The 17,584-nt window shown below is 45.7% G+C and overlaps 1 long non-coding RNA gene across 1 annotated transcript, besides 1 other annotated feature; it reads left to right on the top strand.

Annotated features, from left to right (window-relative positions):
* Positions 1-15,692, top strand: LINC01671 (long intergenic non-protein coding RNA 1671). The gene is made up of 2 exons (NR_131192.1): positions 1-243; positions 14,248-15,692. It is a non-coding gene; the product is annotated as a long intergenic non-protein coding RNA 1671 (long non-coding RNA).
* Positions 4,991-5,191: a silencer, noted in NCBI's record as "peak4415 fragment used in MPRA reporter construct". NCBI's record gives its function as "represses an SCP1 promoter by STARR-seq MPRAs in K562 erythroleukemia cells {active_cell/tissue: K562}" and the evidence as "EXISTENCE:reporter gene assay evidence [ECO:0000049][PMID:32103011]".
* Positions 15,693-17,584: the final 1,892 nt, after the last annotated feature.

Below are 17,584 nucleotides of genomic sequence, written 5' to 3'. Positions count from 1 at the left end.
CAGGTCCTGTGACAACAGGTACGGGCCAGCATTGGGACAGGCTTTGCCTGTAAGAGGGCTGGTCTGGGGGGACATCTGAACCCAATTCAGGAACACCTCACAGGTCTGCCAGCAGGGCTAGACCCGGGGTGAGATCCAGGGCAACAGGGTCTGCCTGGGAAGCTCAGCTCCGGCACTGCCTGGGGCGTCTCTGCCTACACAGGACCATTCCTCTCGCCTGGACTCCTCTTGGAGTTTGCCAAGGTATGTTCAGAAACCGAGACATCAGGGAGTTGACTGCCCAGACCAGCAGTGGGATGTAAAAGTGTTACTTTGTCCCAGAGAAGTCCTCTCTGGAAAAAAAATGTATTCCGAAGTTTGGGTGTGTGAAAATAGCCCTGTGGTGAGTGTGGTTTTCCACTAAAGATGCTTTGATCAGACAAACTCTGTCAACCACGGGAGGGGGTTATGCAGACACACAGATAATACCCTAGCCCAGCGTGGCCCGCTGTACTGGGAACCAGGGCCCTGGATGAGCAGCCAGACCGGAAAGCCTCATTTTCTTCACCTGTAAAATAGAAAACCCCACGTTGACTGTCCTAGGTGGTTGCCAGGATCCAGCTTGGCTAACGACAAAGACCTGTGCGGCTCTGCGGTGTGTTAAGAATCCTTTACCTTCTTATATAGTAGCCTCCTCTTTGTGGTTGCAACAACCTAGGAAGGTTTTCTGTTTTATAAAAAAATTGAGTGCAATGAAATCATCTGTTAAAGTCAAATGTAGGCGGCTTAACCCTGCACCCTGCCAGGAATGAAAACTTGAATGCAATTTATTTTTAAACTGATGATTTAAAGAACAGAAAAAAAGCAGCAACGTTGTAGCCTATAAAAATATTTTATTTATCTGAGGCAAAAATCTTAAAAATATGAGTCCAGAGACTCCTAGGGTTATGGATGCCTAGTTCCTAAATTCTCATAAATCCTCATAAATCCAGTAAGTCCCAGGAGCCTCAGGGCAGCCCCCAAGTGCCCCTATCCCATCTCCTCTGTCAGTTGTGGCTCCTTAATACCACATGGACACCCCCAGAACCACTGGAAGTAAATCCCTGGCCCTGGCGCTGAGAGAATCCTGGGATTTGGAGGGAGAGGGGCTGGAAAGGCAGGACCCCGCTGAGGGAGGCGGCAGTGGAAGTGCCCTCTCCTCAATGACCTTCTCTCTAACTGTTGCCTCCACATCGGTTCCCCAACTTTGCCTTCAGGCTTCCTCTCTGCTCTGTTTCCTTGCCCGAAATGATCAATTCACTTGTTACACCTGTTATAAGAAGAGTCACTTTGAAAACTAAGACAAACTGGCAGGGGATTAGTATGAGTTTGCAGTTTCTTCCCTCCCTCAACTCTGAACGGAGGTGGCCAGCAAGGAGAGAATTTGAGGTTTTATTATTGGAGGGAACGGTTGGATTTGGGAGCATGGGGCACTTTGAGCAGGGAGGACAGGGTGGATGGGGACCCTTCATTGGGTCCCGAGCACCTCAGGAAGGCCCAGGGCACCTGGAGAGTTTGGAATAAGGGAAGCAGTGTGCTCAGAATGCAGAGAGGTGGGTGATGTGGTTTGGCTCTGTGTCCCTACCCAAATCCATGTTGAATTATAATTCTCCAGTGTTGGAGGTGGGGCCTGGTGGGAGGTGACTGGATCATGGCGTGGTTTCTAATAGTTTAGTACCATCCCCCGGTGCTGTCTCTTGATAGAGTTCTTCCAAGACCTGGTTGTTTAAAAGTGCCTAGCACGACCAGCCCCCAACTTCATTCTCTTCCTCCTGCTCTGCCACGTGAAGAAGGTGCTTGCTTCCCCTTCACTCTTCTGCCATAATTGTAAGTTTCCTGCGGCGCTCCCAGCCATGCTTCCTATACAGCCTGCAGAACTATGAGTCAATTCAACTGCTTTTTTTCATAAATTACCCAGTCTCAGGTAGTTCTTTATAGCAGTGTAAGAACAGACTAATACAGCGGGCACATGCCAACCCCAGGGAAGGCCTGTCTGACATTTTCTCCTGGGGTCCTTCATGCGTGAGGGCCCTAGCATGAGAGGGGGCACATTTCTTTCTCCTGTAGTTCTCTTTCTATCTGTACCTGCTGCTTCCATAACACAGAATTTGGGCCACTGCTGTAGCCTCCGTAGCTCAGCCCCATGAGGGGTTCCTGTGGGTTGGCCTGTCAGGCATGGAAACATGCATTCTGAACTCTAGACAACCCGTGGACTCAGAATCTTTGGAATGCATCATATTCAGACTTTTTGGTTAGTCTGTGCTCAAGCATCCAAACTTTTTAAAAAGTTTGACCAAATTGTTTTTTCCCACTTGTATTCAAGAGTATAGAACAGCATAACCAGGCTGTCAAAGTGAGAAAATACGAAGCTATGATGTATTGGTGTCAGAAGAAGATGAGCTATTTTTAAATTTCTACTGAGCATGACAGTATAAAGCTTCTCTTTCTAGTAATGGTGAACTAAGCAATATGGACCAACCTTCTTTTGGCAGATAGCCAGAAACTTTTGAACAAAATACTTAAAAAAAAAAAATACTTGAATACTGATGGGCTAGTGAGATAGCAAAAAACTACTGGGCCAACATGAGGAAGAAGATAAAAATTCAGGCAAATGAACCCAGCATTTGGGGCAATTTTTCCTTGGGAGTGTTTTTTTAGTCATGGAAGAGATGGTTAAGAGGTGGAGCCATATGTTTTTGCCATTCTGTAGGAATAAAGGACAAAATTTAGCATCTGAGACACTCCAATTTTGAGGGTGGGGGTCTTAGCAACCCTTCTTCTTCACATTAGGACTTTGAAGAATTACATCTAAGGAAAAAAAAAAAGCCGGAAATAGACAAATCATTTCAATAACTTTATTTCAGTTTTTAGATATCTCGAGGGTCCAGAAAAATCTCAATTTCTAAAATTAGATTAAGATGATTCCAGATTGTGAATATACCCAGTTGCTTGGTAGTTACAAAAAATTTGCAGAGAAAGAGTGTATCAGCAGATTGTGTCCACAAAATGTATTTTTTTTTCCAAATACAATGTCTAGCACACAATCTAAAATAAGCAAACACACAAAAAGAAAAGACAGTGTGGACAAGAATCCACAGAAACGAGGACAATAAAATTCAACCATCATGGGCTCCAGATACTGAAATTAACCAGGTAAAGCTTTTCTTTTTATTTTATTTTAATTTTTTTTGAGGCAGAGTCTCACTTTGTCACCCATGCTGGAGTGCAGTGGGGTGATCTCGGCTCACTGCAACTTTTGACCCCAGGGTTCAAGTGATTCTCCTGCTTCAGCCTCCCAAGTAGGTGGGATTACAAGTACATGCCACCATGCCCGGCTAATTTTCATATTTTTACTAGAGATGGGGTTTTGCCATGTTGGCCAGGCTGGTCTTGAACTCCTGACCTCAGGAGTTCCTGACCTGAACTTGAGACCGCCTGCCTTGGCCTCCCAAAGTGCTGGGATTACAGGCATGAGCCACTGTGCCCAGCCAACCAGGTAAAGCTTTTAAATAGGTAAGACCGTTAAACTATTTTAGAAAGACATGACAGATTTGAAAAAGTTCATATACAAATTTAAGAACTGCAATATATAATTTTGAAATTAAGAACTCAATGGATGGGTTTAACAGAACATTGGGCCAGCTAATAAGAAAATTAGTGAACTTGAAAATGGATAAAAGAAATTATCCAGGCCTGGCACGGTGGCTCACACCTGTAATCCCAGCACTTTGGGAGGCCGAGGTGGGTGGATCACTTGAGGTCAGGAGTTCCAGACCAGCCTGGTCCACATGGTGAAATCCTGTCTCTACCAAAAATATATTTTAAAAAATTAGCCAGATGTGGTGGCTTACGCCTGTAATCCCGGCTACTCAGAATGCTGAGGCAAAAGAATCCCTTGAACCTGAGAGGTGGAGGTTGCAGTGAGCCGAGATCATGCCACTGCACTCCAGCCTGGGCGACAGTGAGACTCTGTCTTAAAAAAAAAAAAAAAAAAGAAACTATCCAGAATCAAGCATGGATAGGGACATAAAAATTGAACATTCAAAAGAGGTGGTAAAAAACATAGAAGATACTGTGAGAAGTTTTAAAAACTATTTACTGGAGTCTGAAAAGGAGAAGTGGAAAAGAATGCTCAGAAAAAATACTTGAAAAAATATTGATTAAGAAAAAATTTTAAACTGAAGAAATGCATTTAAGATCAATATTTCTCTCTAGGCATTGCTTTGCTGCATTCCACAATACCGAAAACGTAAGAATAAAAGTGACTTAAAATAAAATAATGGAAAAAGCATAATGTGGCAATACTCAGAAAAAGAAAGCTAATGTACATATGCTAATATCAGACAAAATTGACTTTAGGCATAAAATTATTGGAGACAAATATATTAGAGACAAAGAAGGATGCTTTATTCACCGGGAAGATATAACAATTCTAAATTCGTTATATTTTCATTCTATTATACATATACACACATATATAGGTATGTAGGAGGATTGCTTAAACCTGGGAGGTGGAGGCCACAGTGAGCCATGATTGTGACACTGCACTCCAGCCTGGGCAACAGAGCAAGACCTAGTTTCAAAAAAAGAAAGAAGTTAGAACAAAAACAAATACAAACAAAGTAGAAGGAAGGAAAAAAACAGAAATTATTGAAATAGAAAACAAATATACAACAGAAATATACTTACCAAAATTAATAATAAATGAAATGTGAATAGTTTTATAACTATTAAAGGCAGGATTAAACCATCTCAGATTAGGAAAAAGGCATGAAAAAAATCAATGTACACTTGTAATTTTAAAAAAGGACTCTTAGTGAACTAGACTATAATGGAAGTTCTTTAATCTGATTAAATATATGCCCCAAAACCTACAGAAACCATCATAATTAAAAGTGAAATGTTCCTTTGAGGCAATGATGGCTGCTCTTCCTGCTTCTGAGTAAGATTGTACTGGAAGTCCTAGCCAGTGTTGACAACCAACCCTGGGGAATTCCTTTCTAAGGAATCCCCTTTGAGTGACTGGCTTTGAAGAAGTTGGTCTTGCCCTCATACAAGTGCAGCTTTGTGGTTGGGTGTGGTCACATGGCTGCTGTGGCCAATGAGCTGTGCAGCTTTGTGGTTGGGTGCGGTCACATGGCTGCTGTGGCCAATGAGCTGTGAGCACAGGTAATGTGCATCAGAGGTCTCATTCCCTGAGGCGTGGTCTCTTTCAACCTTTAAGGTGGTGGCTGTTTCATTAGGGTGGATCCCAGAGTGAGAGAAAAGCCCCCAAAACTACCGCAGTGCACATGGAGTATGAATGAGAAATAACATAAATCTTTCTTATACACCAGAGATTATGGCACTGAGACAGAGGGTTGTGGAGGCCACAGCAGCTCCAGCCTGGATGCTAATCTGCCATGTTGGTTGATACGGTTTGGCTCTGTGTCTCACCCAAATCTGATCTCGAATTGCAATCCCCACGTGTTGAGGGAGGGACCTGGTGGGAGGTGATTGGATCATGGGGGCAATTTCCCCCATGCTGTTCTTATGATAGTGAGTGAGTTTTCATAAGATCTGATAGTTGATAAGTAGCAGTTCGCTCTTCATTCTCTCTCCTGCTGCCATGTAAGTTGTGCCTTGCTTCCCCTTCACCTTCCACTATGATTGTAAGTTTCCTGAGGCCTCCGCAGCCATGTGGAACTGTGAGTCAATGAAACCTCCTTTGTTTATAAATTACCCAGCATCAGGTAGTATCTTTATAGCAGTGTGAGAAAGGACTAATATATTGGTGTTGATGAAGAGTCAAACTCTAAAATGTTTGAAGAGATTTATTCTGAACCAAATATGAGTTACCATGGCCTGTGACACAGCCCTAGAAGGTTCTGAGAACATGCGTTCAAGGTGGTCTGGGTGCAAGGTGGTCATGGGAGACATGAAACATTATTCAAATAAATGGAAGATGTACATTGGTTTGGTGTGGAAAGGTGGAACAACTGGAAGGTGGGGGCTTCCAGGTCATAGGTAGATTCAAAGATTTTCTGATTGGCAGTCGGTTGAAAGAGTTAAGTTACTGTTGAAAGACTTAGGAATGTCTGGGTGAAGATAAGGGGTTGTGGAGACCATAGGTGAAGCCTCCAGGTAGCAGCCTTCAGAGACAATAGATTGTAAATGTTTCTTATTAGACTTAAAAATTCTGTTCTATAAACCAAAAATAAAATTTGAAGGCCACCCAACCATCTGAATGGACTTCCTTCTAGGCCATGGCATTCTAAATTTAACCTGAAAGACTGGTTTAGGCCATTACAGGAAGTGGGGGTCAGACGTGCCTCATTGTACCCGCCAGCATGGATATCAACACAGACCTTAAGTCTGATAAGAAACATTTAAGTCTATTCTCTCTGAAGCCTGCTACCTAGAGGCTTCATCTGCACGATAAAAAAACTTTGTTCTTCACAACCCCTTATCATAACCCAGACATTCCTTTCTATTGCTAACTCTTTCAACCAACTGCCAATCAGAAAATGTTTAATCTACCTATAACCACCCAACCCCTGAGCTTCAAGTTGTTCCACCTTTCTGGACTGAACCAATGTGTTTCTTTTATTTTTTTCTTTCTTTTTTTTTTTTTTTTGAGACGGAGTCTCACTCTGTCACCCAGGCTGGAGTACAATGGCGGAATCTCGGCTCACTGCAACCTCCGCCTCCTGGGTTCAAGTGATTCTCCTGCCTCAGCCTCCCGAGTAGCTGGGATTACAGGTGCCTGCCATTACGCCCGGCTAATTTTTTTTTTTCTTTGTATTTTTAGTAGAGATGGGGTTTCAGCATGTTAGTCAGGCTGGTTTCAAACTCCTGACCTCAGATGATCCCCCTACCTCGGCCTCCCAAAATGCTGGGATTACAGGTGTGAGCCACCACACCCAGCCCCAACATATTTCTTAAATATATTTGATTGATGTCTCATGTCTCCCTAAAATGTATAAAACCAAGCTGCACCCTGACTACCTTGGGCACGTGTTCTCAGGATTTCCCAAGGGCTGCGTCACGGACCACTGGTCACTCATATTTGGCTCAGAATAAATCTCTTCAAATATTTTACAGAGTTTGACTCCTTTTGTTCACCAGTTCTATTAGTAATGCCAAAAGGGAGGAGGGGATAATAAGGTATGTCTGGCTCCTGATTCCCATCACAGCCTGAACTAGCTTTTCAGGTTAACTTTGGAATGCCCTTGGCCAAGAGGAGGCATTCATTCAGATGGCTGGGGGACTTAGAATTTTATTTTTGGTTTACATTGGCTTATGATTAACATTCTGAGGAGGCCTCTAAGATTTCCAGTTTATCTACCACTCCCTGTGTAAGAGCAGCTACTTACTGTAGGTCCTGCCCTTAGGTCAAACAACCTTGACATTATCATCCTTCAATCATCCTGCACATTCCTTCTGAACCACTCCTCCCTGTGCTATATAAGCTCTGGGTCTGGGGCTGAGGGGTAGGGATCCACCATCTCATCTCGTTGCCACCTGAGACACAGCCATGGCTTCTCTTTGTAAGTCCGTATGAAACATTTCTAAGAAACTCAATGTGTCAGCTTCTCAGCTTCTTTGGACTTTGGGGCTGGTTTGCCTAGACCTGCCCACTGTAAAACGTGGACTGAGAGACCAAGAAATGTGCAAAGGGAATGAAGCATCTGTGGGAGAAATCCCAGGCAGCAGCCACTTCCACGTGGAGCAGCATGGTTCGCCTTTTAGGTGCATGTGTGTGAATGCAGTGATGTCCCTAAACTGCTGGCATGCTTAAAGCAATCATTAGCTGAGAGCCATCCATCACATAGCGGTAAGGAAGGGTGGTGAGCAGCTACTGCTGTGGATGGCTGCTTCTAGGGGCTGCCTGTTTGGTGATGGAGCCCAGCCAGCAGCAGAGGCAAAGTAAAATGGCTTTGGTAGGAATTACAACTGGGAAAAGGTTTTTAAAAGAGCTTGGCAGTCAAAAGGTAACTTGGTTCAATCTGCCATGTGGGTTGTATATGTGTTCACGCCTATTGCTTATTGCTATTTTTTTTTTTTTTTTAGACGGAGTCTTGCTCCATCACCCGGGCTAGAGGCTAGAGTACAGTGGTGAGATCTTGGCTCACTGCACCTCCGTCTCCCAAGTTCAAGCAATTCTCCTGCCTCAGCCTCCAGAGTAGCTGGGACTACAGGCGTCCGCCACCATGCCCGGCTAATTTTTGTATTTTTAGTAGAGTTGGGTTTCACCATGTTGGTCAGGCTGGTCTCGAACCCCTGACCTCAGGTGATTCACCCACTTCAGCCTCCCAAAGTGCTGGGATTACAGGCTTGCACCACTGCGCCCGGCTTGCTTATTGCTTTACGGCCTCTGCTCTCTGTAAAACTTCTCAGTCGAGAACCCTGTCTGTTTCTCTGTTTGCTTCTGTCTGTCCCTCTTTCCTCTTGCAACCTTCAATGACACATGAGGACCTAAACAAGGAAATTTCTGACAGCCTAGGATCCTTGGGGAACAGGGAAAAGGCACCAGTCTCCTCTCTTTGGGAGGAACCTGTTTTTCCTCGTGGCATCCTAGGTTGTAAGCAGACAGGTTCCCCTCAGGTCTAGGGCTCTGCTCTCTTGTACTGTGTTACTGGGCTCGCTGGCTGTTTGTAGGGCACTAGAGACTGCTTGGCACTGTGAGAGGACTTGACCTTGATGTGTGTGATGGCTGGTGGTTGATGGCGGGTGAAAGCCATAGTGTTGGAGGTGGCTCAGGACAGTCGTGCAATGGAAACGATCATTGATACGGGGGTACTTGGGTGTTTGCACGTTTGAATAAGAAAGTCGTGGTTTAGGTCCTAAAACCTGCATGCTTTCTTGGTCCTGGTCCTTAAAGGGCTCTACCTTAAAGCCAGTAATCTAATTAAGAAACAAGCTAAATTGAAAAGACCGCCTATCCAACGAATCAGCCTTCAACACGCTTTGTAAAGGAAATGTACATCTTTAGAGGGAATCTCCATTTGTAAGGGCGTGTCTGTCTCCGTACTGAAACCACTAGAAACTTTCTCTATGGAGAAGACAATGGCTTAAAGTCTACATAACAGACCTTGCTTTTGCTTAGATTGAAGTTCTGTTCCTTTCTACCTGTTTCCCCAGAGTCCTGTCTTGGGAGATGCAGATTTAGAATTTTCTCCCTAACATTTGTTTAGGGCATGAAACAGGAAATCAAGAGATTAATAGTCTAAAGTGAGGGAGAATCTTTAAAAAATGGCAAAAGAAAAATCTTATTAAATGTATAAGATCTGCTGCTGTGTCTGCTACGTCTACATATGTGTCATGCGTATGTGACACTTCGCTACTGTAGAAAGTAAAAAGTTTCCTCTTCAAAGTTTCCCTTCCTGTTAAAGAATAAATCATAAGTGTTAGAAATAATAGTTTCTTTTAAAGACTGACTTTCTTCAAGCCTCCTTGCTTTGTGCTAATAACTCTTTGTTAAGCCCTATCCTATGTAGCTGTTGGACATGCTCACAGGCACGTTCCAGCTCACAGCCTATGCCCCTTCCTTATTTGGAAATGTTATTGCTTCTTTAAATCTTTCATAAGCAACTTCCTCCTTTCCTTTGTTCTCCCTTTGCCTTTACCTATTTAAGAAAGTTTTAGGTTGTTAGCAAGTCGAGTGTCAGTTTAGACTGTGAGGTTCGGCTCCAGCCAATGGATGCAGGACACAGCAGTAAGGATGACCCAAATACGTAAGGGATAAATACATCTGCTTTTCCTTTGTTTGGTGTACTCTTGTGGCAAGACTGCTGGTGAGTGTACCCTTTCTGCAGAAAGTGAAAATTGCCTTGCTGAGAGAATTAAATTTATGTTCAAGTGATATTTCTTTTTTTTTTTTTTTTTTGAGATGGAGTCTCGCTGTGTCGCCCAGGCTGGAGTGCAGTGGCGCGATCTTGGCTGACTGCAAACTCCGCTTCCCGGGTTCACACCATTCTCCTGCCTCAGCCTCCTGAGTAGCTGGGACTACAGGCGCCCACCACCATGCCCAGCTAATTTTGTATATTTTTAGTAGAGATGGGGTTTCACCGTGTTAGCCAGGATGGTCTCAATCTCCTGACCTCATGATCCGCCCCCCTCGGCCTCCCAAAGTGCTGGGATTATAGGCATGAGCCACCACGCCCAGCCCTCAAGTGCTATTTCTTTATGGCACCAGGGAACAAGCATTTTGCATTCCCAGCACTACCAAAATATATGAAGGAGAACATTTACATGCTTAAATCAAATATTTTATCAGAAAAATAGATGGTAGCTCGAATGCCTTTTAGCACATGTGATTTTGGTAATCTATGGTAAATAAAACCAGTTTCAAAATTCTCTTCAGGAATTTAAGATCTTAAAGTCATGTTATGTTAAATTAATCCTAGGGTTTTCAGCAGAAATTGGGATTACTCAGAGTGTGTTTGGTAAAGGTTATAAAAACGTGGTTTTTGCTGAAAGGAAAAGCAATTTTATGTAGAATAGAGGATATTTAAAGATTGTTTCAAAATGAAAGGAAGAGAATGCTGGGTTGGGCCTTGGGGCTGGACCAAGCTCAGATCTGGGTCTGTCTGAGCTCAGATGTGAGTCTGTCTGAGCTCAGATCACCAGCCTCAAAGCTACCCACAAACGGGAAAATTATGCCAGGAACAAAAGAAATTACCTTTGAGACCTGTAGTTACCAAGAAGATAGTCAATGTTCGGGAAGGGAAAAAGCAAGCGACTATTGAAACTAGAGGGGCGTGTGAAGGAATTGTTCCATTTTGTAGATCTGGATCATCAGCTCCCTGAAGAACCTTTATGAAAATGGATTGTGAGAGTGACTAATTTGGGAGCAGTGTCTCTGGTTTAAAATGCTGCAGAGGGAAAGAGCATGTTTGGGTTGATGCAGGACCCACACTCACCACTGAACAATGCAGCTGGGTATACACAATCCAGACACACAGGAGAGTATTCCTGAGGGAGCAGCCAGCCTGGGGAACCGGATAAAAGGCACTGGAAGGTCTGTTTACCCTGAGAAGGGACGGTCTGACTCCAATATAAATGCCAAGTGCAGCACCTCAGATGAAGCAGCTGGTTTCTTCTCATGGGTCTTACAGATGCTGATAAAAACATGAGGTTAGTTAAGAGCAGGGGAAAGGCAAAAGGAAGAGTCAGAATCCATCAAAGGGAAGTGGACATTTTTAAATGGTTATTTAAAAATAAGGTAAATAGGCCAGGTACCGTGGTGGCTCACGCCTGTAATCCTAGCACTTTGGGAGGCCGAGGCAGGTGGATCACCTGAGGTCAGGAATTCAAGACCAGCCTGGCCAACATGGAGAAACCCCATCTCTACTAAAAATAAACACACACACAAAAATTAGCCGGGCGTGGTGGCAGGTGCCTATAATCCCAGCTACTCAGGAGGCTGAGGAAGGAGAATCACTTGAACCCGGGGGGACGGAGGTTGTAGTGAGCTGAGATCACGCCACTTCACTCCAGCCTGGGTGAAAGAGCGAAACTCCGTCTCAAAAAAATAAAAAATAAAAAATAAAATAAAAATAAGGTAAATAAATTTTTAAAAATTGATAGATGAGGCTAAGAGGAAAGACGAGAGAGTCTTGGGGCTTATCCCAGGGTGGCAATCTTTAGATAATTACTAAGAAATGGAATGAATGGAGGACTTATTTTTTCTTATTTTTTATCTTGCCCAAATTCCTACTTAAGGGGTCTGGGGAATCATGCCCTACAAACCATAAATTCTTATCAGGTGGGTTTTATTTAACCCTATATATTGTGACTTACTTTCAATCTGACTCTGGCATAACATTATGAGACAAGGAAAAAAATATTTAACCCCAAAATATATTTCCTTGCCATACCTTGAAATTGCCCTGCAAAGTCTCTTGTGGGAAAAATCCGCATTCTATAGAGAATGCCCTTCCCACTTTGTTTTCCTTCCCTTTTTTTCCAGATCCCGGAGATAATCAACTAAGAGCCAGGCACCCTTTTAGGTCTGAAAAGAAACATTTTACAACCTGCTCTCTCTCTCTCTGAAGTCTGCTATCTGAGCGATTCCTCTGCACAATAAAACTTGGTCTCCACAATCCTTTACCTTAACCTAAACATTCCTTTCCATTGATCCCAGGTCTTCAGATAAACTCAACCAATTGTCAACCAGAAAATGTTTAAATTTACCTATAGCCTGGAAGGCCCCGCTTTGAGTTGTCCCGCCTCTCTGAACCAAACCAATGTATTTCTTAAATGTATTTGATTGATGTCTCATGCCTCCCTAAAATATATAAAAACAAGCTGTGCCCCGACCACCTTGGGCACATGTTCTCAGGAACTCCTGAGGGCTGTGTCACAGGCCATGGTCACTCAGATTTGGCACAGAATAAATCTCTTCAAATATCTTATAGCGGCAAAAGAATAAAATGGAAATTGATGGAGTTAAAATAAAAGTTTTTCTTTTTTTTTTTGAGATTTAGTCTTGCTCTGTTGCCCAGGCTGGCACTGCACAATCTCAGCTGCTCACTGCAACCTCAGCCTCCCAGGTTCAAGCAAGTCGTTTGCCTCAGCTTCCCGAGTAGCTGGGACTATAGGCGTGCACCAACATGCCCTGCTAATTTTTTTGTATTTTTTAGTAGAGACAGGGTTTTGCCATGTTGGCCAGGATGGTCTCAAACTCCTGACCTTAAATGATTCACCCACCTCAGCCTTCCAAAGTGCTGGGATTACAGGTGTGAGCCACCACGCCCAGCAGAAACAAAGGTCTTAATCAATGCTGTCAAAAGTTGGGTGAACCAAAGGAAGCCTCCACTGGCCCCCACAATGTTAAAGGGCCCCAAACCAGTTTTCTGTATTTATCCCAGATTGGATAAATTAAAAAAAAAAATCAGAGGGCAAAGATTGCAATGAGAAAGCTGAGCAATAGTTACCTAGGGCAACGCTGATGCAGATAAGTCCAGATTAAAGTTTGGCAAGAGAGACCCTTGGCTCAGCCCCTGCTGGGAACCTAAATCTTTTTTACAAGAGAGGGAAGAATGGTCTGGGGGTTGAAAAAAGAAGTTCCTGGTGCTGTTACAGGTATAGTTAGACACTCATGAGCAGAGGGAGGAGAGAGCTCTTCTCCCACCCACTAGGAACGTCAGGTGATGCTTTGGCAATGATCACATTGTCTCTCTAAAAGGGATAAATTGGCAGCCGGCACCAGTGAGAGGCCATTTCCTGATGGTCTACACCTGTTGCACTAAAGTGTTCACTGAATGCAGGCGCCAGGGAGAAGCACCTTCCCAGCCATGTGCATTAAGAAACAAAATGGCAGAATGTGACCTTCCAGGGGCACACCACAGGAAAAGGGAAGAAAGCCTCAGAGGGGCATGCGTACCACTTCCTAAACACACTGTGTGTGCTCACCTCCCAAGGGTAAGGGGGGCATGTGCATGCGGGCAGCCCATCCTAAGGGAAGAACCATGGGAAAGGGGCCAGCCTGGAAAGTCCTAGGATCATGGTTAACCTAGGTCGACCACTGCACTCGACCTTCCACTTGGGTCTCTCCCAAGTGTGTTTTCTTTCTTTCCTGTTCTTTTTTTTTTGAGACGGAGTCCCACTCTGTCGCCCAGGCTGGAGTGCAGTGGTGCGATCTCGGCTCACTGCAAGCTCCGCCTCCCGGGTTCACGCCATTCTCCTGCCTCAGCCTCCCGAGTAGCTGGGACTACAGGCGCCCACCACCACGCCCGGCTAATTTTTGTATTTTTAGTAGAGACGGGGTTTCACTGTGTTAGCCAGGAAGGTCTCGATCTCCTGACCTCGTGATCCACCCGCCTCGGCCTCCCAAAGTGCTGGGATTACAGGCGTGAGCCACAACACCCGGCCTCTTTCCTGTTCTAAAGCCTTTTGAAAGAAACTTCCATTCCTCTTCTGAAAGTTGCCTTGGTGTCTTTTTTTGCCTTATGCCCCTCAGTCTAATTCTTTCTTCTGAGGAGGCAAGAATTGAGGTTGCTGCAGACCCATAAGGATTCACTGCCAATAACTCGGATACCTCCACTGGTAACATATGTGGTACCATGAGACTCAGATATTTTCCACCCCTAATAGGACCACAGCATACAAATGAAAAGTTGATAGGATTATGTAAGTTGAAATGTTTAAACAGGATTTATGCAAGCTGTTGTGACTCAGTTTTACTCTTAAGGAGCTGAAGGATAGGGGTGGTGGTCTTCAATGTATCTCTATTTAATTTACCAGGCTGGCCTCTGCAGAAATAGGAGACTCCTGGAGGAAGACAGTGGACTTCAGCAAGCTGCACCAAGGAGAATCCACAGCGGCAGCTGCCCTGCCAGGCGCGGGATCTCGGTCAAGGTGGATCAACACAGCCTCAGGTGTGTGCTCTGCCCCACTGAGATGGCAAGTGCATTCTTTTCTATTCCTACGAGGAAAGAGCATCCGAAAGAGCCTGCCTTCACATAGGATGAATAACAGTGGACCTTGGCTTTGCCTCAGTGTTATGTGCTAATAAACCATGTATTCTATGCCCTAAGGAAGCCCAGAGAGAACTGGACAAGCTGGATATCCCAAAGAGCATGGCACTGGCCCACCACATTGATTACATTGCGCTGGCCGGGTGCTAACCAAGAAGCAGCTAACACACTGGGAGTCTTGGTAAGATGCCTGAGTGCCTGCAGCTGGCAGACAAATCCTACAAAGATTCTGGGAACTGCCACTAATAACACTCTTGGTGGGGAGGTCCCATATCCCATAACCAGGAGCATACTGGGCCTCCTGTCCACAGCAAAGAGCCAATTACTGCATCTTGCATCTCCCATGACCAAGAGAGACAGACAATGCCAGTACGCCTTCTGGAGGCAGCACGTTCCACACACATGAAGACTACTCCAGCCTATGTACCATTGATAGGAGAAGCTGTCGGCCTTCCCTGAGCCTGCAGCAGGTCGAGGCTGCAGTGCTGGCAGCCCTGTGACTCAGGCCCTGCAGCTGGTCGGACCCTGTGTTATGAGAGGTATCAGACGTGGGAAAGCAATGCTGTGTGTTTATGGCAAACCACTATGCCAGAATCACAGTGCAGGCCCCTGGGATTCAGAAACAAAGCCGTGCCATCTGCGGCAGAGGATTCTGCGAAAAATTCTGAAAAGTCCCTGTTGATGTGCTCCTGGGGCCTGGGGTGATGGAATACCTGATTGTGCATGTGGAACTGCTCAGATGAGCTGGATTCTGTCTCACCCCTGGGTCATGAGGTTGGGGACTCAGAAATAACCCATCACAGGTGGGAGTGTGCGTGTGGCAGCAGCAGAAGCAGGAGCAGGAGGCCAAGCAGCGGCAGCTGCCCAGTACCCCCCCCCACCCTCCACAGCAGTCCCCACAGCCCCAGTGGAGGAACCTTCTGGTGAACTGAGGAGGGAGGGACAAGCCCGGCCTCAGTTCATGGAGGTGTCTGCTCTGCCTGTGGGGCCAGCCCAAATCGCCTGGCTGCCATACTCCAGTCTCAGCAAGCTGCCCTTTAAAGAGGGTGATATGGTTTGGCTCTGTGTCCCCACCCAAATCTCATCTTGAACTGTAATCCCCAGGTGATGAGGGTGAGACCTGATGGGAAGTGATTGGATCATGGGGGCTGTTTTCCCCATGCTGTTCTCGTGATAGTGAAGGAGTTCTCATGAGATCTGATGGTTTTATAAGTGTCTGGCAATTCCCCTGCTTGCACTTGTCTTTCTCACCCACCACCACGTAAGACGTGCCTGCTTCCCCTTCCGCCATGATTGTAAGTTTCCTGAGGCGTCCCCAGCCATGCAGAACTGTGAGTCAATGAAACCTCTTTTCTTTATAAATTACCCAGTCTTGGGTAGTATCTTTATAGCAATGTGAGAACGGACTAACACAGAGGGTGATGAGGGAACATTCTCCCAGTGGTCATCCCCTCTGTGTAAGTGGCTGTGAGGTTAGAAGATCTCTGAACCCATGGGCAATGGCCAACGACTTTGCCGGCTGAACCCAGAATGGGAGCGATGTGGAGAGTGGGGATGGGCAGTCAGGGATGAGGCATGGGTTGGACGTGGGGGAGTGGGCAGGAGGTGCAAAGATCTGTGTGTAACAGGCAGGTGCTCCCAGAGAGCACCTGCCGCAGAGGAGGCCTGAACGACCCCTAGGGAAGGTCAGGCATGGCTGTTTGGGCCAAGCGTGATGGGATGGTTCTCTCTCTCCATGGGGGCTCAAGGCTGCCGTCTCTCTCCCTGTGCCATCCTCTGCTGCCTCCTTTCCATGACCCTTGACCCCAAGGGAACTTCACGATGAGCCTCCTGCCTGCTAGGGTCTGAATCTGAGTCTGTTTCCTGGGGACCCGCCTACCACACTGCCACCCTCCCAGAGTAGAGAAACCAGAAGTAACTGACCAGTGCTGACATCACATGGCCATCCCAAGGTCAAGCTTCTTCCCCTCACGTATGAAGAACATTCTCTCTCTCCCACCTGAAGTTCCCGCCAGTCCTACCTGAAGTTCCCACCAGTCCTGCCGGAAGTGCTACGGCTGCCCTGGCGATCTAGGTGGTCTCTCCATTGTGGGTGGTGTCCAGTGGTCCTCAGCGGGTCTGGACAGGCCCTTTCTGGACTGGAGACCTATGAAGTGGAAAGACAAGTCATTCACTTTTCCTACCTGTTTACTATGAAATGTGGGAGCAGAGACAATAGCAACCAGCCCCCATTCAGAGAGGGGCAGAGTGGCAAGCACATGGCAATCGTGGAGTGCGGCCAGCCGGAGATCCCAGTTCGGTAGGGGACACTCCCTGATGTGGCCCTAGCTCTCCTCCCTAGGCAGGCCCCAGTCCATGTTCTTGGTGGCAGTGACTGGCCCTTCCTTTGGTCTGTCCCCTGGGCCACCTGCGTCCCAGGCACTGGAGAGTCCCCACTTTCTCAGCCTCTCTGCCACTCCTCAAAGAATGGGAGCCCTGGGTTATTCTCAAGTTCTCAAACGATCACAAATGCAGTCTGTGAATTCACCCGCTGGGGAAAATGTATTTGTAACCCCCACATCAATACTTGGGGCACTCCGGGTCACTGGACACATACAGGGAGGGGGAAAGTTTAAGACATAGGATGTGCATGTTCCCAGCTGAGGTTGCACACAGTGACGTTCTGCCTTCTCGTTCTAGCTCATCCTGTAAACACGGGTCTTTCCATGGTCTCCTTAGTGACTTTTTTTTTTTTTTGGGTGGTTTTGCTGTCTAAGTTGGCCCAAGCATAGTGATGATGTGGTCCTAAGCACTGGGAAGCCGGGTGCCATGTGCCAGACAGAGAAAAAAGGCATCTTAGAGAAAGCTTCAATGTTAATGAGTCAACAATATTACACAGGTGTCTTTAAACAGAAACACACATAAAACAAGATCGTGTGTGGATTGATGAAAATTTAGTGACCAGAGCTCTCAGGAACCTTAACCCTGTCTTTCTCCTAGGAGCATGGTTCATTCATCTCTAAATCCGTGTTTACAGTGACTTTTTAGAACATAAACTGCTACAGATAATGATAATTGATGATTTTCTTCTAGGTTTATAGGTCCTTTGGTGTTACCATCCTCTT

Source organism: Homo sapiens, chromosome 21 (assembly GCF_000001405.40).
Source record: "Homo sapiens chromosome 21, GRCh38.p14 Primary Assembly".
Classification (NCBI taxonomy): domain Eukaryota; kingdom Metazoa; phylum Chordata; class Mammalia; order Primates; family Hominidae; genus Homo; species Homo sapiens.
This window is presented reverse-complemented; position numbering and strand designations above follow the sequence as displayed.